General features: G+C 37.9%; 1 protein-coding gene, 1 long non-coding RNA gene and 1 other non-coding gene across 12 annotated transcripts in view, besides 2 other annotated features; 1 reads left to right on the forward strand and 2 right to left on the reverse strand.

The window, feature by feature from the left end:
- CFAP418 (cilia and flagella associated protein 418) lies at positions 1405 to 25693 on the reverse strand. Of its 2 annotated transcripts, NM_177965.4 has the most exons (6): positions 25527 to 25693; positions 20179 to 20266; positions 16960 to 17024; positions 16332 to 16397; positions 8680 to 8775; positions 1405 to 4262 (listed from the first exon to the last, which is right to left on the reverse strand). In NM_177965.4, the coding sequence occupies exons 1-6, from the start codon at positions 25679 to 25681 to the stop codon at positions 4109 to 4111; spliced, it is 624 nt and encodes a 207-aa protein (NP_808880.1). In that variant the 5' UTR covers positions 25682 to 25693; the 3' UTR covers positions 1405 to 4108. The 2 variants fall into 2 exon arrangements, with proteins under 2 accessions (NP_808880.1, NP_001350189.1); NM_001363260.1 differs by lacking the exon at positions 8680 to 8775.
- Positions 25285 to 25724: an enhancer, noted in NCBI's record as "active region_27655". NCBI's record gives its function as "activates an Ori minimal core promoter by ATAC-STARR-seq in GM12878 lymphoblastoid cells {active_cell/tissue: GM12878}" and the evidence as "EXISTENCE:reporter gene assay evidence [ECO:0000049][PMID:35858748]".
- Positions 25328 to 26348, forward strand: part of CFAP418-AS1 (CFAP418 antisense RNA 1) — a 541308-nt gene continuing 540287 nt past the window's right edge. For all 9 annotated transcript variants that reach the window (NR_038201.1, NR_038203.1, NR_038208.1 and 6 more), the window contains exon 1: positions 25328 to 25382. This is a non-coding gene — a long non-coding RNA (CFAP418 antisense RNA 1). The remainder of the gene's footprint in view (positions 25383 to 26348) is intronic.
- Positions 25679 to 26318: an enhancer, noted in NCBI's record as "H3K27ac hESC enhancer chr8:96281415-96282054 (GRCh37/hg19 assembly coordinates)". NCBI's record gives its function as "activates a minimal SCP1, AML or CMV promoter by ChIP-STARR-seq in naive H9 embryonic stem cells {active_cell/tissue: H9 hESC(naive)}" and the evidence as "EXISTENCE:reporter gene assay evidence [ECO:0000049][PMID:30033119]".
- On the reverse strand, positions 26149 to 26230 carry TRS-AGA2-5 (tRNA-Ser (anticodon AGA) 2-5). The gene has a single exon. It is a non-coding gene; the product is annotated as a tRNA-Ser (tRNA).

A 26348-nucleotide genomic window follows, 5' to 3' on the forward strand; every position in this document is an offset into this window, starting at 1 on the left:
ACCATCTCAGCAAACTAACACAAGAACAGAAAACCAAACACTGCATGTTCTCACTCATAAGTGGGAGTTGAACAATGAGAACACATGGACACAGGGAGGGGAACATTACACACCAGAGGCTGGTTGGGGGCTAGGGGGCTAGGGGAGGGATAGCATTAGGAGAAATACCTAACATAGATGACAGGTTGATGGGTGCAGCAAACCACCCTGGCACGTGTATAATTATTTAACAAACCTGCACGTAACCTGCACGTTCTGCACATGTATCCCAGTACTTAAAGTATAATAATAACAAAAGAATGAGAACATTTATTAAGCACCTATTCTGAACCAAACACTATGCTAGTCACTTTTCATGTGTTATATGATTTAATCCTTACAACAAACTTACAAAAGTGGTATTATAATTCATACAGTTAAGGCGAACGAAGCCCAAAATGTCATGTGACTTTCTAAGGGACACGACTCTGAACTCTGACTTTGTTAAACTTCATTTGGTCATCCCTTATCTCAAGGCATTTGGGGAAAGTCAAATTTAATTATCATGTACTTGTATATATACATATCTAATGCAATCTTTTTTCTTTTTTGGTTTTTCTAGTGCATTCTTAAAATAGGGCACAAAATGATGTCACAAACCCAATGAAATACAATAAGATATGAAATCTCTAAAGAGATTGCGTATTTTAAATTTTTTCTTTCAGGAACTATTTTATACAAGAGATATTGCTGATTACTGGGAGCATTAGGTTGGCTGATAGAGATTTTGTTAAAACATTAGAAATATCAGCATTTGAAATTCATGGCTAAGCTTCATCACAATGCTTTTGGATACAAAGACCTTTTTCTTTCATATTCTTAAATATCAGTAAGAAAAAGAGAGAAAGCAATTCAGATTCATAGTCTGATGACATATTCTCTGGCCTAAGAAAAAAAGGTACTAAGTTTACTGACATCAACGAACAGGTTCTAGGTATACACCGCCAAGTCAGCATGGCCTGTTCTTCCTAAACTTGGACCTGTTCCTTTGAATACCCATGGTACTTTACACATGCATGCACACACATACTCTCTTTACACATGCATGTACACACACACACACACACACACACACACACACACACACACATCAGAGTTATGGCATACTTCTCCTCCCCAGTGTAGACAAATTATCTGTTTAACTGGATGCTTGGAAACTTTTCTGTTGACATTAAAAAAATTTTTTTTGACTGGGCATGGTGCTTCACACCTGTAATCCCAGCACTTTGGGAGGCTGAGGTGGGAGGATCGCTTTAGCTCAGGAGTTCAAGGAAGCAGTGAGCTATGATTGCACCACTGCACTCTAGTCTGGGCAACAGAGAGAGACTCTGTCTCAAAAAAAAAAAACATCAAAATGATTTCAAATTAATGTCCATCCAAATGAATATTTTACTATAAAATAAAAGAAGTAAATAATACAGAGTAATTATTTATTACTTATTCATTTCTAGGCAGGATGAGGGTCTGAGAGTATAATACAGTTCAAATAAAGAAGTTACCTGGCTTAAAAATAGCTACTTGCTAAAGATAGAAAATTATTATAAATCTTAAAAACAAACAGGCAAAACATCTTGAAAGTTTTATAGGCTTTGCATTTTAAAATTATAGATGATTAGAAACTATACTTTTCTTCTATACTGATACTAAAATAGTTTCATTTTCAGCTTAAATTACAACAGTTAATAATTTATCTGACTGTATATAAACATAATATTCTTTCTACATTTTAGTTTAAAATAGTACAATATTAAAAAGCTTATAAATTGCCAATAAACATGGGAACTCACACATACATTTCTGACATTGGGGGATTATTATAATTATTATGTTATGGAATGCCAAACATAGGCAATGTATGTAAGTTTTAGGATAGTTATAATGAAATAATAAAAGGGAAAAAAAAACCAGGACAACTTTGTCCCTTCAAAGTAGAGGCAATGTAGGCTACTTTGGGAGGCTGAGGCGGGCGGATCACGAGTTCAGGAGATCGACATCATTCTGGCCAACATGGTGAAACCCTGTCTCTATTAAAAATACAAAAATTAGCTGGGCGTGGTGGTGTGTGCCTGTAATCCCAGCTACTGGGGAGGCTGAGGCAGGACAATCACTTGAAGCTGCGAGGCGGAGGTTGCAGTGAGCAGAGATCGTGCCACTGCACTCCAGCCCGGCAACAGAGTGACACTCCATCTCAAAAAAAAAATTTTTTTTTTCAAATTAGTGATTTAGTAAATTTGCTTACTGGAATAAAAAAGAAAGAATTGCACCATTATGAATAATGTGTCAAATTCTATGAGGTTCTAAATGTGTGGATCTTGTTGCTCTGCTATTTTTTTCCAGCAGTCGACTTCAATCGACATCCCCCTAGGTTTCTGACTCAATTACATATAGATATAACTTTAGGGATATAATACATTTTTATTAAAAGATAAAATCTGTCATAATGTCTTTTTTTTTTTTTTGAGACAGAGTCTCACTGTGTTGTCCAGGCTGGAGCGCAGTGGCGCGACCTTGGCTCACTACAACCTCTGCCTCCCAGGTTCAATAAATTTTCCTGCCTCGGCCTCCCGAGTAGTTGGGATTACAGGCATGCACCACCGCGCCCAGCTAATTTTTGTATTTTTAGTAGAGATGGTGTTTTATCATGTTGGCCAGGCTGGTCTTGAACTCCTGACCTCAGCTGATCTGCCTGCCTCAGCCTCCCAAAGTGCTGGGATTACAGGCGTGAGCTACCATGCTTAGTCTGTCATAATATCCTTAATACAAAAGTGTGAGGATTGGCCATTATAAGATCTATTCTGTTGCAATGCTAGACTTACTACAATAAATTTTACAAGTATGTAAATGTGTCATGGCTAGGAAAAGGATTCTAATGATCAGATCTTCCTCCCTTCAGTAGGGTGGCTGGAATAAATTTAGCATAAGACTAAGAAGATTATAACTTTGTTTCAATTATTCCCTTTCAGGGTGCTCTGTATCACACATTTGAACTATATAGTACATATGTAGCAGGGAGTTTGTGGCAGATTGGAAAGCTCCCAAAATCTCTCAATGGGGTTGGGAGCTAGAAATTTTGAGGGACCTGATTTCCTGAATGTGCTGCTATTGTAGGGCTCCTCAGATCTCAGTGATGTCAGGAAGGAGCCCAACAGGTTACCTGTTGGTTCAGTTATGCTTTACTTGTCTTTTCACTTACTCACCTAATAAACGATATGTCAACCTGATCCTACCAGAGAAGTCCACAGGCTGCCTGAAAAATTATATTACTTGCTGTTTACTTCCCTTGATGGAGTTTTAGGCATTAAAGGATAGAAAGTACTTGGAAAATCCAACAATAACCTGTATGTATTAGGATTTTTGTGATTTTGGGTGCATCAAACTCTTTTTATATATTATTGGGTAATCAAAATAGAAAATAACTTTTGATAGTTAAATGAACAAAAGAGGGAAAAATAAGCTAAAACTGGTAACATGTATTTAATATTGTGCATAACATTGCTTTGAGTTGATGAGGTAAGATCAGCTATGAGGCAGTGTTTTTGCAAAATACCTGTAACTACTTCTGAACACCCTTCAGTCAGCCACTGATCACCTGGTTTCTGCCATGTCCAAATTATGATCTTTGGCAACAAAAGATCTGACTGGAAGAAGTGTTGTAGACACCCCTAAATGATCTCTTTGCCCTGGCCGGCTTTATCCACTTTAACTGCTACAAGTTGGGGAATGATTTGCTAAACGTATTAGCAATCAATATTGCAGTTGCTAATGAAAAACTAGATATTTGTATGGAACTCCATAATCAAACCTCTATTAAACAGAAGACAGATTAGTAAAGAATGTAGATGCCTGTTACTAAGTGAAACATCCATGTATCAGGAATAATTCCAAAGTGTTATAATACATGATCTTCCTTAGTCCATTTGGTCTTCAAAAATGTATGTAGTTGTATCAATAAAATTCACTGCCTTTTCCCACAGGGAATGGTATTGCTAGGGACTATTGTCTAAACATGATGATGATTCATGGAGACCACTCTCATGGATGCATCTGTCCGAATGTGCAGTCTGCATTCTTAATGTTTACCACAAACCCAGCGAAGCTGATGATCTGTCTGAAGGTCAGTCACTTCTTCAATAGTTCTCCAGCTACACTGGCAGGCATATGCCCGTGTTCCTTTCTTCTTTATCAACTTTGCTTTTAATTTGTGAAATTCTGGCATGTTGTTCCTATTAGTAAAACAGGAAAGTTTTAGCATAGTGGCTTTGTTCAGTGCTTAATGATTAAAAAAAAAAAAAAAGGTCATTGCTTTCTTTTCTTTTCTTTTTTTGTTTTTAGGAGTCTCATTGTTACTCAGGCTGGATTGCGGTGGCACAATCATGGCTCACTGCAGCCTTGACCTCCCAGGCTTCCCCTCAGCCTTCCAAGTAGCTGAGACCACAGGCATGTGCCACTATGCCCGGCTTAAAAAATTTTTTTTTGTAGAGATGAGGTCTCAGTATGTTGTCCAGGTTGATCTCAAACTCCTGGGCTCAAGTGATCCATCCACCTCAGCCTCCCAAAGTGCTGAGATTGCAGGCATGAACCATGGTGCCCAGCCTATTTTCTTATCTTCCCCGTATCTGAACACTAAACAACCTAGATCCCCTCACACTAACACTAGAAGATATGCTTCAGTGTTCTCTTTCTGATGGTATTTCTTTGATAATCTGTACTTTTTATGGCAATCCTCTAGGCCAGTTTATTGAATGTTGAAGAACACAATAACCTAAAGGCTGAAGAATTACAAACGCCCTATCAGAGATGAAATAATATGAAAATAGGGTGGAAAGGATGGTGGTTCATTTCCTACCTCAGATACTCACCTATGCCATATTTTAAAAGCCTGTAATATGGCAAGTTGAGAGAACATTAGAGGCATAAAGATCATAGGTTTCTGATGAATTAACTATAGAAAATTTTCATTAGCTTCAATGATCTGTTTATTCATACTATCAGCAACAAAAATGTCTATCCTGAAATAAATATTAATAATGTTGAAATAATTAAATCAACAAGTAGGGCCATCGTAAAAATGATAAACACTGGATTTCATACTATTATAAAAAAGACTACAGAAGTTTAATTAATAAAAACATCAATTATGATTTCATGATAATCCATGTAATGAGTTCATATAAACATTCCATGGCAAAGAAAAGTAGAAAAAATTTTTAAAAAAGATGAAAAAATACAAAGTGAAAGGACGAAATACAGTATGAATACCAGAAAAAGAGATACGGTACCTAACCATTGCTTGTGGATATCACTGCAACAGAAGGCAGGCTACAAAGTGCCCTCTGGTGGTCAATGGGCACCATATTCAGTATTAAACTGTACGAAATTCAGGCACAATTTAGAAGGTTAGAACCTCACAAAACCTGACAGATTTTCCAAGCCAACTGTCTGACTTCAGGAAACAGACTGACTAGCTAAACGACTTAGCTAAGGGAAGAAATGAATAATCTAAATTTTAACAGAAAGAAAAAAACCCCGCCAAAACTAAGTTGTTGAGGAAAAATGTCCTTTATTTGATCTGCAAAATATTTTGAAAACTTAACATTTGATACTTGACTGAATCCTTAGCGATTTTAGGATTAGGAATCATGAATAGGCAGGGATCTAATTATGACATTTGAAATGGTTTTTAAAATGCACGTATCTTAAAAGCTTAGGGAAAAATCATTCCATTCTTAAAGAAAACACGATTTAATAGAAAAATAAAAGCATTTTCTTCAGCTGTTGTGGCAAGGTGGTCAGTAAGTATAGCTGACACTTCTTTTACAATGTTCTAAAACTTGTCTGGGTGTGGTGGGTCATGCCTGTAATCCCTGCACTTTGGGGAGCCAAGGTGGGTGGACCACTTGAGCTCAGGAGTTCGAGACCAGCATGGGCAACATGGTGAGACCCCATCTCTACAAAATTAGCTGGATGTGGTAGTGCGCACCTGTATTCCTAGCTGCTCGAGAGGCTGAGGCCGAAGGATCCTTTCAATCTGGGAAGTGGAGGTTGCAGTGAGCTGAAACTGCAGTCCTGCACTCTAGCCTGGGTAACAGGGTTTGCAAGATTGGCTCAGAAAAAAAAAAAAAGTTCTAAAACTTCTCAAAGATAGGATACATTTATTTCTCTCATCTGTAAAATAGGACAATAAAACAACTGCACAGCATTCCACTGTGTAACATTTAACTTGTCTTTGGTCACTGTCCACTTCTGGTTTCCTCAGTGATTATTCCACATCCTCCTCCACTCCCTTATTTTCAGCAGATCACATCTTCATTCTCAAAACCAGGTCGCCAGGTATGAAAGCCTTCAATTTCCTGGCAAGCTCACCCTGAACACATCAGTACCTTGCTGGCTTCCTCTCAGTCACAGAGGTCTTCCTTTTCCTATCCAAGGCTCACCTCCCATCAGTGCTCTTGACCCTATTGTCTCTATGACCTTGCTGCTCACATGCTTGTCCCCACCCATGTCTCCCTTCCCCTGGGTTCCTCTCATCTTATGAGCCCAGTATCTAAGAGTGTCATAGACTAGGTGCTGAATAATGTCTACTGGTAAACACCAATATATTGTACAAAATAAATCTATCAGTGATTTATATCCTAATGGTGGAGACCGCCTTATTCTTTAGCTGTTCCATTCTCTTATCTCCCAAACATATTCCTAAGTGTCTTGAGAACTGAGACAGTATTTTCTACTGATTTAAATAATGACTACTTGTTTATTTTTAATAGTATAATAAATCCTCTAGTTGTCACTGTTTTATCTAAAAGTACATATATTTTTTAAACCAGGCTGCCACAGATCTAGGGTAAACCAACTGGTGTTCTTGATAACTCTGAGATGCTGCAAGTTCCTCAAGTACCGACTAGGTTATCCATAGTTTACTTTATGCCTGTGTTCACCACTGCCTTGATGTTACATGCATTTTATTATCCTATGATAGTTTTATAAAAATTCATGCTTCATCTTGGTGACATATGGGGATTATTAACCACTTATTAGATTAACTAGTAGACAGTAAATAGCAGAGGGTTTAGAAAAGTCAGAAAAGGGAAAGTCAACCTGTAATTAAAAGCCAACTTTTCCACTTATGGGGTAAAAAGTGGGCTAAGCCTAAAAGTATGGGTTCCTAACCTCAGATTTTGGGAGTACATTAGGCTTTATTTGGGTTGGAAACTGTAAAATTTTTCAAGTTATAATTTTTCCATGTATTTTTATATTTGAATTGTATGTGTATGAGGGGCATTCAAAGCTTTCATAAGATTTGCAAAGTGGTTCTTGATGTGAAAAAGTTTAAAAACTATTAAATTAGGGTATACTCATAGATTTACCCAAGAATGGCTGCCAAAAAAGGCGTAGGGGAAAGTCTCTTACCCTTTTCTTTATGCTATTGAAAAGTGCTGCAATATTACACTGTATTAATTTTTAGCTTTAAATTTTTATTTGAAAATGTCAATGTAAAGTTCAAATATATTTTTATAACTTGTAACACCTTAAAGATAGTAGGTATTCTGTAAGTGTATAAGAATGTACAAATTATATAAATATGAGCAAGACATTATCTCAGCCACAAGGAGGGAGGTAGTCATACACCAACCTAAGAGCTTCAGTTTTATATTACAGTATATAATAGGTCCAAAGCACCGTGAATACACAGGAAGGGAAGAGTTTTCTTCCAGTTGAGAGAGTGGTGAAAGAATCATGGAAGACATGTGATGAATTATACTCTGAAGGACAGGTAGGGTTTAGGTAGATAAAATGGTGGGAAGGCATCCCAAGAGGTAAAGAGGTTGTACAAAGTCAGAGGGAATGGGAGCCTTGAGTACTCTGATGTAGCTAAAATCTTGCAAAGGTGAAATATACATTGTGGGAAGACAAAGCTGGATGATGGATGGATGGGAGCTGGATTATGGAGGGTCATGAATGCCATGCTAAGGAATTTGGACATTATTCTGTAAGTGGAAGGGTGTTGAGCAGGAGGACGGTATACTCTGAGCTATGCTTTAATTCTGAACAAGGGAAGGATGGTCTGAGAGAAGAGATTGTAGCCAGAAAAACCAGTGAGGAGGTTACTTCTGTATTCTTGTCCAGAAGTAACATGTCCTTATCTAGGCTGACAGCAGGCAGATGGAGAGAAGGAGATGGATGACAGAAACACAGTCATGCATTGCTTATGCTTTGTTAGGCAATTCCATCATTGTGGGAATATCAAAGAGTGAATTTATACAAACCTAGATGGTATAGCCTACCACACACCTAGGCTATATGGTATAGGCTACTGTTCCAAGGCTACAAACCTCTACAGCATGTTACTGTTTATACCAGCATCACCACAAACATGTGCAATGCATTGCAGTATAATATTACAAAGGCTATGATGTCACTAGGTGATAGGAATTTTTCAACTCCGTCATAATCTTATGGAACCACCATGTATATATATATATGCAGTCCATCGTTGACTGAAGCATCATAACGCAGCACATGACTATACTGAAGAGGTGAAGCCCACAAGATCTGGCTGAATCCACCCAGAGAGAATATATCAAAATAGGAAATATAAACTACTTGGTACTTTTTTCAGAGTGAAGTTCTTTAGCAACATACCTGAAAAACAGATAATCACACGATTTGTCCCACATATAGTCATCATAGCTGACTACCAAGAAATCACAGGCTATACAACGCAGATGGTCACATGCTCTGTTCAGAGAAAAAAAATTGTATATTAAAGATTATTGGTATCTTTAAATACCAATGAAAACATGGTGATTTATTTATAGGATACACCACATATTACAGATTACTGAATAAACAACAGAAAAGTACAGATTAATCTGATTATAAATCTTTATACTAAAGCATTATTTACGGTCTAAACCTTAAGGTTAAATTTTTGCACAAACCTACCTATTTTACTATGATCTTGTACACTGAACTTACACATATATTATATAGATATGAAAGAAAATAGATTTGTAGATCTTTTAATTCCATGGTTTTCAAATTACGTCTGAGGGAGATCGTCATATAAGCTAACTTCTTTAAATGCTCCCCTTCCTACTGAAATTTTCAGGAATATCTCTACCGAAGAATATGTCACATGACATTGAAATGAATCTGTTTTTCAGATAAGCTGCTTAAGCGCTGGGAAAAGATTGTATTTGTTTGCTTCCTCACAACTTGGCATAATGCATTCATTCACTCAAAAAATATTTATTGAGAGTCTGGTATGTGCTAATGAGATTCTGTCTTCATAGAGCTTTGATTGCAGTGAGAGAAGAAACAAACAATGCTCATGATAACTAGACTATATACTAACCTGGAGGGATATCTGAAGCAAGGTGCACACTAACATATATAGCATGATCCTATTTTTGTAAAAACGACCCCCACAAAAAATTCCTATATAGGTGGCTAGAAGTTTATAAGAACATGGAGCAAAATGGCCGGGCGCGGTGGCTCACGCCTGTAATCCCAGCCCTTTGGGAGGCTGAGGCGGGCGGATCACGAGGTCAGGAGATCGAGACCATCCTGGCTAACACAGTGAAACCCCATCTCTACTAAAAATACAAAAAAATTAGCTGGGCATGGTGGCGGGCGCCTGTAGTCCCAGCTACTCAGGAGGCTGAGGCAGGAGAATGGCGTGAACCCGGGAGGCGGAGATTGCAGTGAGGGGAGATCGCGCCACTGCACTCCAGCCTGGGCGACAAAGCGAGACTCTGTCTCAAAAAAAAAAGAACATGGAGCAAAATGTAGAAAGTTATATACTACACAGTAACCCTGGTTGCATCAGGAGTGGTTGAAGGGAAGGAAGGGAGATTATTATCTTTTTCTTTATACATGTTTCAATTTTGTTTTTATTCTTTCATTAAGCACATAATACTTCTGTAATGAAAAAATAAACTCATCATTAGATTTTTTTCATTTATTTCCCTTCAAAGTTCAGATACGCTAATTTCAAAATGCAAATACTTTTGGCCTGAAAATTTCTTTGAGAATAAATGCTTTGTATTTCTAAAAATACTATTAACCATAATAATAATGAAACATTTAAAACCTATACAAGTTTCATAGGCAAGTCCATATTTTCTTTCAAACTGTTAGCAATTTATGAAGTTGCATTTCTACATTTGGAAATTCAACAACTACATTTGTACACATTTGAACTCAGACTTCGAATGTACAAGTCAGGAAATGCAAATTGATAGTTCCCAAAGCTACTATGACCTGCTTTCTTATGCATATATAGTTTATTACATGATTGCACAGAGTGTTAACTTTAATGCCTTAATACATATGTGCAATTTGGCTGAATTATTGCTGTTGTGGGAACTATAATTTAGAATTTCCTGACATTTTGTATGTGTAAAATCTCAACCATAATGCTAAATACAGCTTTTTAATTTAATTTAAAATTTAGTAGTTTATTCAAATCTATTCACACCACCACATTTTCCTACAAACACTGTCCTTTGAGAAACATAAAACTAACTTGCAGCTAAGAAATCATTCCACTGCTACGATTTACTCTATTAGATCATAATTAGTACCAGTCTATGGAATAATCCAGTCTTGCAAGTTGTTTAAAAAATAATTGAGAGTAAAATTCGATTGGCTTGAAAATGCCTTCGTTTTATCTGTAGTACTTATTACTGCCACCATGCTTCCTACTACTATTCTCTCCCCTTTTCCACCAACAAGTGAAAGACAAATCTTTTTCTAAAATCTAAAGTCATTCAGCATTACCTCAAGCCAGAGCTGTATCTAGAAATCAAACAACGCAAATAGGCAGGATAGATTCAATTTCCTTTATGCCCTGGCCATGTAAATCAGTACTCTTTTCAGGGCTGAAATATATTTCTCTTTCATAACTATGTACATAAAAGCATATCTAATATAAAGTCATGACTCCAGTGAAAGACAAACTGTCAGGTCTTTCCCTCTAAAATGTAGAGGGAATCACACATAAGATGTCACCAAGAGCTTTGTTCTTTTGTCCAGCTAAAAAGTAGAATTCACTATTTTAAAGATGTTTACGACAGGAATGCCCCAAATCCAACCCAATACAATCTTCTGCCCAGACACTGTGGTTCTCTGTTAAATCCTATCAGATCTGCACAATGGGACTAAAGAAACTTGATGTCTGGATAGTTTGAAGATAACAGCAGTTCCAACAGCAACATCAGCTAAGATTCTTCCCATATTACATGGCTTTCTGCTAAGTGGTATAATAGAAAGCATAATGGATTAGGAATCAAGTAACCAATCTGGATCCTTGCTTTGCAATAACTGATATGACCTTGAGCAAGGCACCTTATTTGGGAGTCATTCTTAACAACTTTCTTTCTTACCCTCCTTAGTCAATCACTGAATTCTGTCAATTCTATATTCTAAATATTTCAAATTTGACCTTTTCCCTATAGCCATTGCTACCACGCAGGTCACAGCTCCCATCTTCTCTTTCCTGGACCACTCTAACTACTGCCCATTGACTAGTCTTCCTGTGTCCTTTCCTGTCTTGCCCCTCCAACTCCCAAGCCATTTTCTGCACAGCAGCCAACATGACTTTTTTAAGAAACACAAATCTGGCCCATTGAACACAGGACAAACTTTTTCCAAAATCCTCAAAAGGATTACAGGACCCTAAGCCAAATGTCCCTCCACTCTCTCTCCAGCCCAGTCAGTGGCCATTCTTTCCCTACTCATTATGCTCCAGCATGGCCAGATACTCTCTGTTCCTTCCACCAGAGGAACACCCCCAGCTCCTCCCCTTCTCAGGGAGCTTCTAAACATGCGTGTGCTCTGGCTCCAATGGTCACCTCTCTTTGTCTAACTCCTACTCATTTTTCATATTGTGGTTTGATTATCTGCTCAGAGAAGTATTCCCTGACCCTTCATATTAGTTAGAGTGTCCATTATCTATGCTTATAGTATCCCATATGTTCCCTTTATGTCACATATCAAATGGAAAATAAATACTTATTTGTGGAATAATCTATTTAAAGCCCATCTCCTCATCTAGACTGAAAGCTCATTGAAGACAGGAAGTGTCCATTTATTTGTTCATCAAAATTTGTTCATTTAATCCTTAGGACCTATCAGGTGGTTAATATGTGTTTGATGAATTTAACACAAGTACCTCAATCTCTTCATTTATAAAATGGAGGTAAAAATTCTTGATCAGCATCTTGGGTTTTTCTCTTGTGGAGCAGGTAAGTCAATATGCATATATAAAAAGTGCTCTGGACAGTATAAAGTACTTCACACATAAAATTTGCATATGCAGATGAACACATGTGTTTGTCTTTCTATGGGTGCAAATTCTGTTTCATGAAAGGGGCAACTAATAAAAAATCTGTGAATACAAACATTTACCTGCGCATATATATGCAACTGGTATCTCTTCTTACAGCTGTGCAGGAGGTAGAAATCAGGTATAATTGATTTCGGCATCCCACTTGGACTAATAGTATGTGATAGGAGCCTCGAGCTATGAAAACAGGCTGTTCTTTGGTTTACTGAAATTCCATCTAACATAGATTTTGTCTGTGCTACAACTAAATCAAAGTACGTACAAAATATTTCATACATAAGAAAATCTTAATGAAATGTTTACTTTTTAGAAGTAAACCAGAATGTATTTTTTTAAAAGATCATTTGTAAAAACAGAAGGCACCTGTAATTATATGTATTTCCTGAGATAAAATGGAAAACTAGTAGTAGAATAAAGATTCTTGTCCCTGAGATATAACGTAACAAGAAAGCAGGACTAATGGATGAGAAAGACACCTTAATTAGAACCCAGTGTGCCTGCAGTACCTAGCTGTCTTTTGCACCATAGGCATAGTTTTCATGTATTATTTCATTTAATCCTCAGAGTATCTCCATGAAATATGTTTAGTTTTTAAGAGTGAGGAAACAGGTTTTAGAAGATAACATCCCTTCTTAAGGCTTCAGAGCTTGTAAGTGGCAGAGTGAGGCTTTGAACTCAGGCATTCTGTCATCAGAGCCCTTCCATTTCAGGCCACAGGAGTAATCATTTGCTTCTTTGTTCCTTACTGGCCAGTGTTTTGCCTTTTATTGATAAGCTAGCACAGGGTTTAGGACATGGGCATTCAATGGATTTAAAAAATCGAAAAAATTTAAATAGAAAAATCAATCTGCAGTGTGTGAATTAAACAGATAAGGCAGCAGGAGACATGCATTAGAAGGGAGTGTTGTTCCAGATAGGGAATAAATGTAAATATACTCAGACACAGAAAAACATAAGTGGAAAGTACAGAATGACAAGCATCCCAGTGGCAGTGGAATATCTGACCCAGGCTTTAATTGGAGCTGAAGGAACTAAAGAGAGAAGAGGAACAACAAGGATAACAATTTGGTAAAGCAAATAGTGAGTTTAGAGTTAATGTGAGACAAATGGCAACTCTCACTTCCCTTCTGAATAGAGGAGAGGCACTCAGAATAGTATTTTAGGGATATTATCTTGAATGCTATATGTGGGTGATATTAGAAAAGATGTAAGTGGATGATAACTGGGAAACTGCTGCTGTGGCTCATGGGTGACTTGAGAGATGCCTGGAATAGAGGAGGCATGGCTCTGAAAATGACGGAGACAAGTCCCAACTGAGTTGAGACAGGCAATTTAGGACTGACAGCAACAACACTACCTCTACAGGCAGTTTGTATCTCTAATTTTTTTGTACAGAGAGTCCTCAACACATGGTGATTCAATTACTATTAATTCTTCTTTATAGCTCTAACAGTAGGTAACATTCCAGTGGATTTATATTAGCCTGTTGGCTGCCTGGTGTTCCCATATAAGGCTTCTCCAGACTCCTAATTTCACTTTTGTCCTATAGCCCTACCTTCTGGGCATTGTCCTTCGATGTAGGCTGGCACCACCACAACCCTCCAACAATGTTTTTTTTAACTCCCACTTCTATTATTCAATATAATTAATTTGCCCCAGTGATGTTTTGGTCAATGACGGACCACATATACAACAGTGGTCCTATAGAATTATAACGGAGCTAAATAATTCCTATTCCTAGTTACATCATAGCTGTCCTATATAGCACAATGCTTACTCATGTGTTTGTGGTGACGCTGATGTAAACAAACCTACTGAGCTGCCAGTTGTATAAAAGTAGTGCATACAGTTATGTATAGTACATAATACTTGATAATGATAATAAACTATGTTACTGGTTCATACTTTTACTATGCTATACTTTGAATCATTATTTGAGAATGTACTCCTTCTACTTATTAAAAAAAGTTAACTGTAAAACAGCCTCAGGCAGGTCCTTCGGGAGGTATTTCAGAAGAAGGCACACTGTTACTATGAGATGACAGCCCCATGCGTGTTGTACCCCCGCAACAAAGACCTTCCTGTGGCGCAAGATGTGGAAGTGCAGGACAGTGATATGGATGACCCAGACCCTGTATAGGCCCAGGCTAATGTGAGTGTTGTGTCTTCATTTTTAACAAAAAAGTTTAAAAAGTGAAAAACAGAGCTGGGCGCAGTGGCTCACGCCTGTAATCCCAGCACCGTGGGAGGCCGAGGAGAACAGATCATGAGGTCAGGAGATGGAGACCATCCTGGATAACATAGTGAAACCCCGTCTCTACTAAAAATACAAAAAATTAGCCGGGCGTGGTGGCGGGCACCTGTAGTCCCAGCTGCTCGGGAGGCTGAGGCAGGAGAATGGCGTGAACCTGGGAGGCGGAGCTTGCAGAGAGCCGAGACTGCGCCACTGCACTCCAGCCTGGGCGACAGAGCGAGACTCTGTCTCAAAAAAAAAAAAAAAAAAAAAGTAAAAAACAATGAAACAATAGAAAAAAGCTTATAGAATAAGGATACAAAGAAAGAAAATATTTTAGTATAGCTGTACGATGTATTTTAAATTGTTATTAAAAAGAATCAAAAGTTAAAAAAATAAAAAAATTTATAAATGAAGTTTCAGTAAGCTAAGGTTAATATTATTAAAGACATTTAAAAGTAAACTTAGTGTAGCCTAAGCTACAGTGTTTATAAAGTCTATACTAGTGTAATATCCTAGGCTTTCACAGTCACTCACCACTCATTCACTCACTCAGAGCAACTTCCAGTCCTGCAAGCTCTGTCCATGCTAAGTGCCCTATACAGCTGTACCATTTGAAAAATCTTTTACAATGTATTTTTGCTGTACCTTTTTAATATTTAGATACACAAATATTTACCATTGTGTTACCACTGCCTACTGTATTCAGTGCGGTTACATGCTACACAGGTTTATAGCCTAGTAGTATGTAGTAGGCTAGTATACCACCTAGCCTAGGTGTGGAGTAGGCTATATCATCTAGGTTTGTGTAAGTACACTCTATGATGTTTGTACATGAGGAAGTCATAATGACTTATGACTAATGACATATTTCTCAGAATGTATCCTTGTTGGTGACACTTGACTATACAACAGTTAGCCCTCCAGAAATGTGGTCAACATGCAATCATATAACTTAGGCCATTCTTTCTTAAAAAATTAACAGAAAATAAGTGTTTTAGAAATAATTAGATAAAAGTATTTTAATAAAGTAAGTTAGGTAAGTAGACCTCTGCCAAAAATAGAACCAAAAGCAGCAGGAGAGTAGGGTTTGCTTAAAGCCAAACTGTTTGCCCACATTATGAAAATGCCAATGGAATGTGCTAGGACTATGGGGCTAATATGGGTTTGGGGTAGGTGGCATCATGACTATAAGACTGCCCAGAAAGAGGTACTGAGTGAGAAAGTGGAGGCAGGAAGGGCAGGGAAGAGACAAAGAACATAAGGTTTTTGTTTTTGAAATATGTAAACATGTAAAATCAAGCAACTACGCTTGAGAATGTTTTGGGCAATGCAGACCTGTAGCTTTGCATGCTAATTGGCCAAGGCAGTGTGGGTAAGGCATCATGTATCTGCATGGCCACTTTGCTTCCACTGCCTGGAAGGAAGTTCACTCTCCTGTGTCCTGTGGAAACAAAGCTGGGACTGGAGTGATCCAGGCATTTCAAGTGGGGCTTAGAAAAGGGCATAAAATGAATAATATGTACCTAACATCACAGCTTTCAATAGCTATCTCCCAAGAATAAAAAACAAAGAATTCTTAGATTAGCTAATAAAAATACCTCTCCTTATAAAACAGATTGATGTGAAGATGATAACTACATTTTAACAATGGGGCATCCATTTGGAAAAAACCTAGTAAGAAAGTATAATACATTTCTGACAACCTACCTCCATGAAATATTTGTTCCAATCCCACATGGAATAGAGCTTCCACCAAGGTACACCGGACTGCAACTAGATGTGTTCAACAGATGCAAAAATATGAAGTTATAACAAAAAATAGGAGAAGTTAATTTGGCCATGTTAAAAAAATTTTTGGTTTTATTGACTTTATGTTCTTGTAATCAAATTGTCTATTTTCCCTAGCAAGCCAACCATTTCAAAGAAGAGATATTTATTGTAGGATCACTGCTTTATTGGATATAACCTGTACATTCAGGAACACTCAAGGAATTAAAATGAGTAAAAGAAAAATGTGTTTGCCAAATAATGTAAGGGACAAAGTAAATACTGAAGAATATAACAGAACATTAATTTTGAGAAACTGTTCACACTTTTTTTAAATGGCAGAAAATTATTTACAATAGCAATAATCCCCCATTTAATTTCCTTTACACAAAGGGGGTCACAGACCATAAGAACACTGAAGATATTGCTATTGGTCTTTCTCCTGAAGGCCAACCAATGCTTTGTTGTTCAATGTCACTGCTGTTTAAATGGTAACAAAATCTACTAGACTATGCTCATAGTGTTTGCTCAATAGTGTGTATAATTCACCAAAGCAATCTCAACTTACCTTTTACCAAGGCCTTCAATGGAAGCTCTGACAGATGTGTTACCTGAAGATTTAGATTTTAATTTCTGTTAAAAAAGCAAAACAATAAAAGGCCATGAGTAACTTAGAAAACTGTAACATGAAAACTAATATTCCTTATAACAAGAATATTTTCTAAATGACTTAAATACAAATTTTCATGGCATCATTTTTAAGTTTCTGAAATAAAAACAATGATCAAAACCTTTTAAAGGCAAAAGGGAAGTAGAACTCCCTAAGGAATGTGCAAATTACTCTACTAACTTTTAGGCTAGGAAACTGATATATTGCCATTATTAGCATGCTAAGATTTAGAGTCACTTTATAACTCTTCAGTTAATATTACAGTTCAATGATTTAATATGAAGGACCTGCTATTTAAAACTTCATTCTAGAAAAATTCAATTGAGGAGGAAAAAAACCTCAGACTCATTTTTAAAGGCTGTGAATGTGCGTCATATGAATTAAAATTAACCAAGCTCCTGTGTAACTTCAGGAATATTAATTTTGATCAAATGGAATGGCATCAACCAATAAATGTGCAAGGAAAATGTAGAACTACCTAGTCACAACCATACAGTAGTTCCTATATGGTTACATAGTATCATCATCATTAGCAAGCATTTATTAAGTGTTAACTGGTATATGGTACCAAACAACATAAACCAACCACACACTAGGACCACCGCCAAGGAGAGGAAGTGAGATGGAGAAAAGGCAATTTAAACTATGCAGAGACATGCCTTCATTTTACATAGTGGGTGAGGAAATTTAATAGAGGCGAAAATATTGTTTTACTATGTCTCTCAACTCTTATTTGATGTTAAGCAGAAATGGAAAAAATTTTGGTACATGTTTGAAAAATAATAATATGCACGAATCTTTCTGTTTGGGGAGCATGTTTCATGTGCCATCCAGACTCAGGCTTATGACTCTAAGCTGGCACACTCTGAGGTTTGTTGTTGGTTCCTGGGCTTTCTTGTGTGGGTCTGGGAACAGTTCAGAAATGCGACAGAATGGGAGAGCAGGAGGTGCGGTAAGGGAGTAGTATTGTCAGGGCATAATATAGCCTCTAATGACAACGTTGGCATAGACTATCTGTTTATCTATGTTTCTTTTGTTAATACATGTTTTTTTTTCCCAATAAATGTTTTACTTAGACCTGCTGTCTCCTTTGAAGGTTGGAAAACTGGACATAATACATAACTAAAAAAGGAAAAGATCATGATTAAAAATTTACTTCTTCATGATTATAAGAGCTACTTTTATTTCAAATTAGTATATCTTAAAGCCAAACCAGAGAAGTACTTATCTTCTTCTGAAACACCTTAACTGAAAAGATAGCGCCTCATATACAGATATGCACCCTATTGGTACTTAATAAACAATGAATTGCTCAGATGATTAATGAAGAGCAACAAAATGATGTAATTTTTTTCTACCATTAATTAGTACTACTAATTGGCATTACTATTCAGTGCTTATGCACTTACTCAGTATTTAGGAAGTATTCTATTTGCAGGGTACAGGTGACCCTTGAACAACATGCGTTTCAACTGCACAAGTCCACTTATATGTGGAATTTTTCCAACCAAACAAGGATCAAAAATACAGTATTTGTGGCATGCGAAACCCCACGTACAGAGGGCCAACTTTTCATAAGGTGGGTTCTGTAAGGCTGACTGTGGAACTTGAGTATGTATGGATTTTGGTATATGTGGGGGTCCTGGAACCAATCCCTTGAGTATACCAAGGAATGACTGTATTTAATATTGCTATTGTGTTTACATATTATTCAACTTGGCATGTGCTTATTAATTTACTTCAGGTGAATTGAAAAAGTTTAATTTTCTAAAATCTATACTAGTCACTTGATTTTTAGTCTGGGTGACAAAAATGTAAGTGGTCCCTATCCATATTCTTACCACAACCATTACCTAGGTATTTTCAGTCCACTGTTTTGCTTTTATCTTCCCTATCCTTTAAAAAACAAAACCCTGGTACTATAGTTATTTCTTAAATTTTTTTGTGATCTTTGTAAATTAGACTTCTATTTTTGTATCTTTCTTTTAAATCTAACAGATAATGCTTGACACACACCATACTGATAAAAATTAAAATACATAAATTCTCATATACTGCCCAGTATGAAAAATGTTAAGTGATAAAGTCACTTTGGAAAACAATTTGGCAATGGGTAGAAAAGTTGAAGATGAGCACACCTTATGACCTAGGAATTCCTCTTCTAGCTTTATACACCCTAGAGAAACTTCCGTATATGGGTAAAAGAAGCCATGTAAAGATATCTAATGAAGGCGTAATCACTGGTTTTCCCTGTGTACATGTCAAAATTTGTATGCCTTTTCTCCGATTAAAAAAAAGGTATCTGATGAAGCACTATTTGTAATAGCAAACAACTGAGCACAATCTAAATGTCCATCATCAGGGAAGTGGATAAACTGTGGCAGAGTTATACAATGGACTACTGTACACAGTTAGAATTGTTTATGGTTATGTACATATGTAATGAAAGTATAAATGTATGGATGGAAAGGATAAATGGTTATCTTTGGGAAGGAAGGCAATAGAATAGGATTTAGAGAGGTCTTAAACTATATCTTTAATTTGTACTTCTTTTTAAAAAAAAAGGTCCAGTAAAGCAAATGTGGCAAAACATTAATATATGTTTAATATGGGTGGCTGTCATGGTATGTTCAGTATATAGGTTGCTGTTATATTACTTTCTGAACTTTTTATGCAGCTAAAATAGACATACAAACATTTAAAAAACTGAAATATTAACAATTTAGTCATTGCTTCATGGGATAAGAGCAATGGCATTGCATGTGAGGTGCTAAGCACATTCCTACAATGAAAGCTGTTTGTTTTTGGCCTTTTAGAAAAGTGTCCTTAGATACTACAAATAAATACAAGTGACCAGCTTGATGTGTGAGTTGACTTCTATGCTAACAGCTTTTCTAATTTGTTATTCTTACTGAGAAATGCACAGGGAAACACATACTGAGAGTTTCTGATATTTTACTGCTTCTACTGCTCTTTAAGTGTAATAATTTCTTTAAGTAATTGTATTTCTCAGAATTCAAAAGATAATGGGTAGCTACTTGTGTCATCTTTAAGACTATTCTAAACATGTCTTGAAATAATGACAGAATTACTACATATTTATAACACTTGACTTACAGAGGGTTTTTTGTCCAAGTTGGGCTCTTCAAGTATTTCATTAATAAGACTGTCAAGATCATCTTCTTTTTTAAATGTTTCTGTTGATCTGAAAAGAAGACATACACAAAGAAAACTTACCTGAGGTTTATGAGCAGAGAAAGCTAGTATCAGAAGAGTTTTGCTTAAAGTCCATTATTAGAGCTGATAATAGAAAGATAAAAGTGATTTTAATTTTTTTCACTGTGGATATAGTCTAAGTTTGTTGAGACAAAGATATACTTTATCAGGTACAAATTCACATATGTTCTATACTATTACATACTTGATATTACATACTTCAGACATTTACAGCTATATACATTATATTCAAGAGGAAGCTGGGTATGTACTTATCTGAATTACATAAAGCATGTATTTAATACAAAATATGTGCAATAAGCAGAACCTGATATTATAAACAAAGATAATTTTAACGAGTCTTCCTGACTTTTCCCCTAAAGGTTGCATTGTAAGTCAACCATACCTCTTTACTAGAGGGGCCGAAGGTCATGTAATCAAATGACCACCTCCACCCCAAAAAAAGGTGCTATTTGTTAGACAGAATATCTCAACTACTCAACTACCTCTACCTTCTGCAGGCAAAGCCATCACTGGATTATTAATATAAACCACTACTGCATAGAACTTCTATTTAATAGCTGATGCTAAATAGCTAATAACTAAATAGTAAGTATTTACTGAATACTTACTATAACCCAGGCATTGTCCTTAGTCTTTACATGAGTATATCTTTATTTAACCCCAGTTTTATAGATGAAGAAAAGGCACTGAGAGATTCAGAAATCTGTTCAAGGTCATATAAGTAGTGGGAGAAAAGGCTTGGAATTGAATCTAGGGCAGTCCGTGCACTTAATACTATACAAGATTAACTTTCTTTAGCGTTTGTATGAAGTAGATGCTGTACATCAACTTTATAACTTCATTAAATTATTTGTTTTAGAAGACAAGTTTTTTAGTCAAACTCTCTAATTTCAGAAATGTATTTACTCTGACAATTTTTAACATAGGCCTTCTTCATTACATCTTGGAGTAAAATAATTTAACCTGATATAAGAAAAGCAAGAGACGGCTGCCTACTACCTAATGGTTGATTCTGTCTCCAGGCTTAGCCTCTTCAGTTGTACTGTAACTTTTACCCTTAATGTCTTTCACTGTATACTGGTTTCTTCCTTTGACTTAGAGGTATGCTCAAGGCTTGCTTCTTCAAAGAGACACTTCAAAAAACCCCTGTCTTGAAGCTGCCACCCTTTCTTACTCACTACTGAAGAATAGTCTATATCCACGATTTCTACTTCCTTACAAGTAGACTAGATTTAGAATCAGTTGGGTGCTAATCCTAGGCGGGGGTTTCTCAGCCTTGGAATTATGGACATTTTGGGTCAGATAATTCTCTGGGGTGTGTATGTGGGGGCAGGAGACTGTTGTATATTGCAGGACATTTTACAGCATCTACCCACTAGATGCTATTAAATAATAGCACACCCTTCCCCAGGTGCGACAATAAAAAATGTCTCCAGACATTGCCAAATGCCCCTTGGGTGGCAAAATCATCACCAGTCTAGAGATACCGACTTAGTTTAAATTATTTAATCTCTCTGAAACTCAAATATTTTATCTATAAAAATGATATCTAGATGACTATTTAAAATTTCTTTCAGGTATAATATTCTACTTCTGGCCTCTAATCCCTCAACTATAGTGAAACTCTTCTCTCGAAGGTTTCCACTGCCCAAATCACTACAATCTAATGGTGGTTCTCAGTTCCAATCCTCTTTAATCTTTCAGAAGCATCTGACACTGTTGGGTACCAATTCCTTATATTTCTTTTTCGATAAGAGGTTGCTAAGATGTCCTCTTAAAATTCTCTCCTTTGGCTTTCAGGACATACTTTCCGGGTTCTCCTCCCTCATGCAATTTCACAATTTCAAGAATCAGATACATCCAAACTCCACCAACCTAATCAGTACTGTTACAGATCCAAATTACCAGCTTACATAAGATTCTGGTCTGTTCTTAGATCACACAATTTCAAAATGCCTACACTTGCCTATGCTTTGCTATAGTAATAACAATAAAGTCAACATTTCATTGAGAACTCATAATTTTAAAGGACTGTATAAGACTCTTTTTGGTCTTTTGATGTGACAATAATCTCAATCAAATGTTAATAAGCTTTTACTGGTTCCCTTTCTGACTCTGTTTCTGACATTCTAATCTTTTAAAGATATAGTTTCTGCTGAAAATAAAACATATATTTAAGATAAAATATAAACACTTAAACCTATAATTAAATGTGAGAGGTATTATATAGAAAGCTTAAATCTAGATCTACTATGTCCTTGTGATTTAGCAATATGACTTTAGGCAAGTAACTAAGCATTGATTTGGTCAATGAAATGGGGATAACAGTATTCACGCATGGGATTGTGAAGATTAAATGAAATAACATATACAAAGCACTTAGCATACAGAAAGAGCTCAATAAATGTTGGCTGTTATTATAGTTATCATCTAGAAAGCTATATTATCTTTAAATATTCCCATCTGTATCATCCTGAACCACTTTATTCCTATTGCAGTTCTTCTCAACCCACATCAGTCTTTTTTAATTTTTTTACTAATCACATATTTCTTTTTATCATTTTGAACACTTCAACAAATTGCATGTTTTGACCTCTTACATTAGCAGTTGTTCCTGGTATCCAGATGTAGCATGGTCATTTATAGTATTATTTGCATTTATAGTATCATTTTAAGAGGTAATATTAGTATTTTAACTCTTATAAGAGATACAGGTTACACTGCTATACAATTAGTAGGTAATCTCCTGTCAATAAATTCAAACATAAATTGCTTCCTAGCTTTTAAGTATAAATTTTGGCTCAAGGAAAAATTTTAATATATAACATTATAAACCAGGTTGGGACTATATTTGGTATAAGGTTTAGGCCCTTTGTTGCTGTTTTTTGTACAATTTACAACTACATTGCCAGATGAAAAGTTTTAATATAAATGACAACAGTACTGTTTCACTAAGGCTTTTATGTTACTTAGTACTAAAAAAATCTAATGTATTAAGGTGGGCTGAGGTACTAGAAATATTATGGATGAATTTTAGTAGAGCAAGAACAGGCATGACACAACCCATGGTTGGAGAAGATCCACATAAATAGTCCTTTCCATTTTGAGCAGCTGGCTTCAATACATCCTGCCCCTCCGCATGCTAGTTCTCCTAAGATGAACAGCTCTGAAAAGCTCCTTGATAGACTAGTTCTATCCCCTAGAAGGACAAACGAAAAGTACTAAAGAAATTGCAAAGCAACACTGTTGTGGGATAGGGATGGTAGATGCGCTAATAGATACATAAGGAATTCCAGTACACAAGATAATAAAAGTTAATGAGAGTGATATTTACAACATCCAGCCAAATGAGTGTTAGCCCATTCATAGTAATTATAGTTGTTTCTAATTTTTGTTTTAAAATGCTGCTCAGAACTCAACTAATTTTTAGAAATTTTGTTTATGTACTCCTTTAGAATTTTTTCGATGCTTTTATCTTCGCAGAGTGAATTTTTATAAATAAATGTCACTGACTGGGCACGGTGGCTCATGCCTGTAATCCCAGCACTTTGGGAGGCCGAGGTGGGTGGATCACGAGGTCAGGAGATCGAGACCATCCTGGCTAACACGGTGAAACCCCGTTTCTACCAGAAATACAAAAAATTAGCCAGGCGTGGTGGCGGGCGCCTGTAGTCTCAGCTACTCGGGAGGCTGAGGCAGGGGAATGGGAGGCGGAGCTTGCAGTGAGCTGAGGTGGGCCACTGCACTCCAGCCTGGGCGACAGAGCGAAACTCAAAAATAAATAAATAAGTAAATAAAATAAATAAATATCACTGGAGGTAAGCCAGGTGAACTGGATAGTAACAGAGTTGGATAATACTTTGGGAAATCACACATACACACACCAAAAAACCAAAACCAAACCAAAGATGCAGCAAAAAAATTAACGGAGATGACGTTCTTAGATTGATCCAAAGTTGCCTCCGTGTAATTTCACAAGCGTTTCCAAAATATTCTAGGCAAGAGGCAATTTCCAAAAGATTCTAGCAAGAGTTACTGAAGGTCAATATTCTTATGCAAACATTTTGTTTTTTTTTTTTGAGGGGTTGTGGGGGAAATGAGGAAGTGAAGGAAATCCTATTATTTAATAATTACATGGAGGAAAAACGACTGGTAAATTTGAAAGGTAGTTTTTAGATAAAAAACCAAAATACCTTAAGAAATGTCCTTAAATTTCCATATGTATGTCTGGCACCCTTAACTAGGGGGCCATGGAGAGAAGGAAGGTAGACGGTTTAATGTTCACAATAATTAACCCTTTTGTAATGAATTTAATCTCATCTTAACTCCCTGAGTTAAAAAAATAAAACAAACTGAGTCAGGTGCGATGGCTCGCAACTGTAATCCTAGCAGTTAGGGGAGGCAGAGGCGGGAGGACAGCTTGAACTCAGGAGTTCAAGACCAGCCTGGCCAACACAGTGAGACTGTCTCTACAAAAAATACAAATTAACCGGGCTCGTGCCTGTAATCCCAGTTTACGTAATCCCAGATTACAGGCTCGTGCCTGTAATCCCAGCTAGGGTAGGCCGAGGTGGGAGGATCTTTGAACCCGGGAGTTGGAGGCTGCAGTGAGCTACGATCGTGCCACTGCACTCCAACCTGGGCGACAGAGCGAGACTCCATCTCAAAAAACAAACAAAACAACAAAACTGAGCTAAAGACAAATAGGATTGACCTGGGGAGTGGGGTCTGAGGCAATGGGATGAGGCTGTCTAACAGGGCACCTCACAGGGAGATGAGAACCGCTTGGCCACACAGAGGCAAAATGCGGCCGAGGTCAGCACAGCCCTCTCGGGGTTAAGAACGGGGCGCCTGAGGGGTATCCCGGTCCCCGACTAGAACCTCCTACGCGCTGGCAGCCAGAAACAGGATGAAGGAGACTGGCGCGGACTGCGGGCTCTGCGGGCGGGGCGGGGCGGGGCGGGGCGGGGCGGGGCGGGGCGGGGGCCAGCCCTCTGGGGCATGCCGGGGGGCGGAGTCTGCGCTGAGTGAAGAGGTGCCAGAATCCGCGAAGAGGGTCGACGAATGCGCTGCCGCGGAGGGTAGGGCGCTGAGGGTCTGAACCCTGATGCAAGGAGGGGCTGGAGGTCGCGGGCACGTTTCTTTTGGGTTGGGCGGCGGAGGGGCAGCTCTAGGGCCTGGAGCAGGGCTTTACCAGAACAGTCCACCCCTCCCGCCCGGTTAACCTGAGCGTCTCTTTCGCCTTGGCTTGGTTCCGGTCGCTACTGTGGGTGCCGCCGCCGCAGCCTTTGGGCTGCTCGACCATACCCCGTCTTAGAAGGTCAGGTGTGCAAAACTTGGACTCGACTTCATCCAAGAGCTCGTCCAGGTCCTCCGCCATCTTGAATCGCCTGGCCTTTTCCCCTCCAATCGCCAAGGCTCCGGTGGTTTCCAGGAGTAACGAGGGGACCTGGCGGGCTCCTGCCCCGTTAGGCGTCCCCGCGCATGCGCACCGCTTCCCGTGGCAACCCGGCGCCCACGAGGGCTCGCGGCAGAGAACGCGGTGGGTTCGTGAGGGGCGGGCGTATGCAGGGACAGAGTTCGGAGCTGTCTCTGCAGTGTGTCTGTGTGACTCGCGATGCTTTGCGTTTCTTCCTTTCAGCATGTCTGGCGTGGTTCCTCCCGTCTCCCCCTCCCGGGCCCACGTTGTAACCACAAGCACGCATTCTCGCCCCTTCATTCTCTCCTCTCCCGTTTGGGTCCCTGTTGTGTTTCAGCCGTTTGTAAATTCCTGAAATCTGTGGAAGGTTTGAGCAGAACGCTCTAAAACACAAAAAGTAAGTGTTGACGGCAAAAAGCTGACATTCCCGTAGTCGGCAGGATTCGAACCTGCGCGGGGAGACCCCAATGGATTTCTAGTCCATCGCCTTAACCACTCGGCCACGACTACTGGCTGTGTGAATTTTTGCGGTGAGAGTGCATGTAGACTCTGCATAAGCGTCTGCTGCAGCAATAGGCACGTTTTGATGTGGAGGAAACCATTACTGAGCTGTTCTGTTAAGAGCATA

This window comes from Homo sapiens, chromosome 8, assembly GCF_000001405.40.
Source record: "Homo sapiens chromosome 8, GRCh38.p14 Primary Assembly".
NCBI lineage: Eukaryota > Metazoa > Chordata > Mammalia > Primates > Hominidae > Homo > Homo sapiens.

What these genes read in the sequence shown, in the direction of transcription:
- CFAP418 (NM_177965.4), bottom strand. Translation starts at nt 25,681, where the DNA reads ATGGCGGAGGACCTGGACGAGCTCTTGGATGAAGTCGAGTCCAAGTTT. An exon ending in ATTGAAGGCCTTGGTAAAAG is followed by an intron (nt 16,398 to 16,959) that starts GTAAGTTGAGAT and finishes GAACACATCTAG; the next exon opens with TTGCAGTCCGGTGTACCTTG. An exon ending in GGAACAAATATTTCATGGAG is followed by an intron (nt 8,776 to 16,331) that starts GTAGGTTGTCAG and finishes TTCTCTGAACAG; the next exon opens with AGCATGTGACCATCTGCGTT.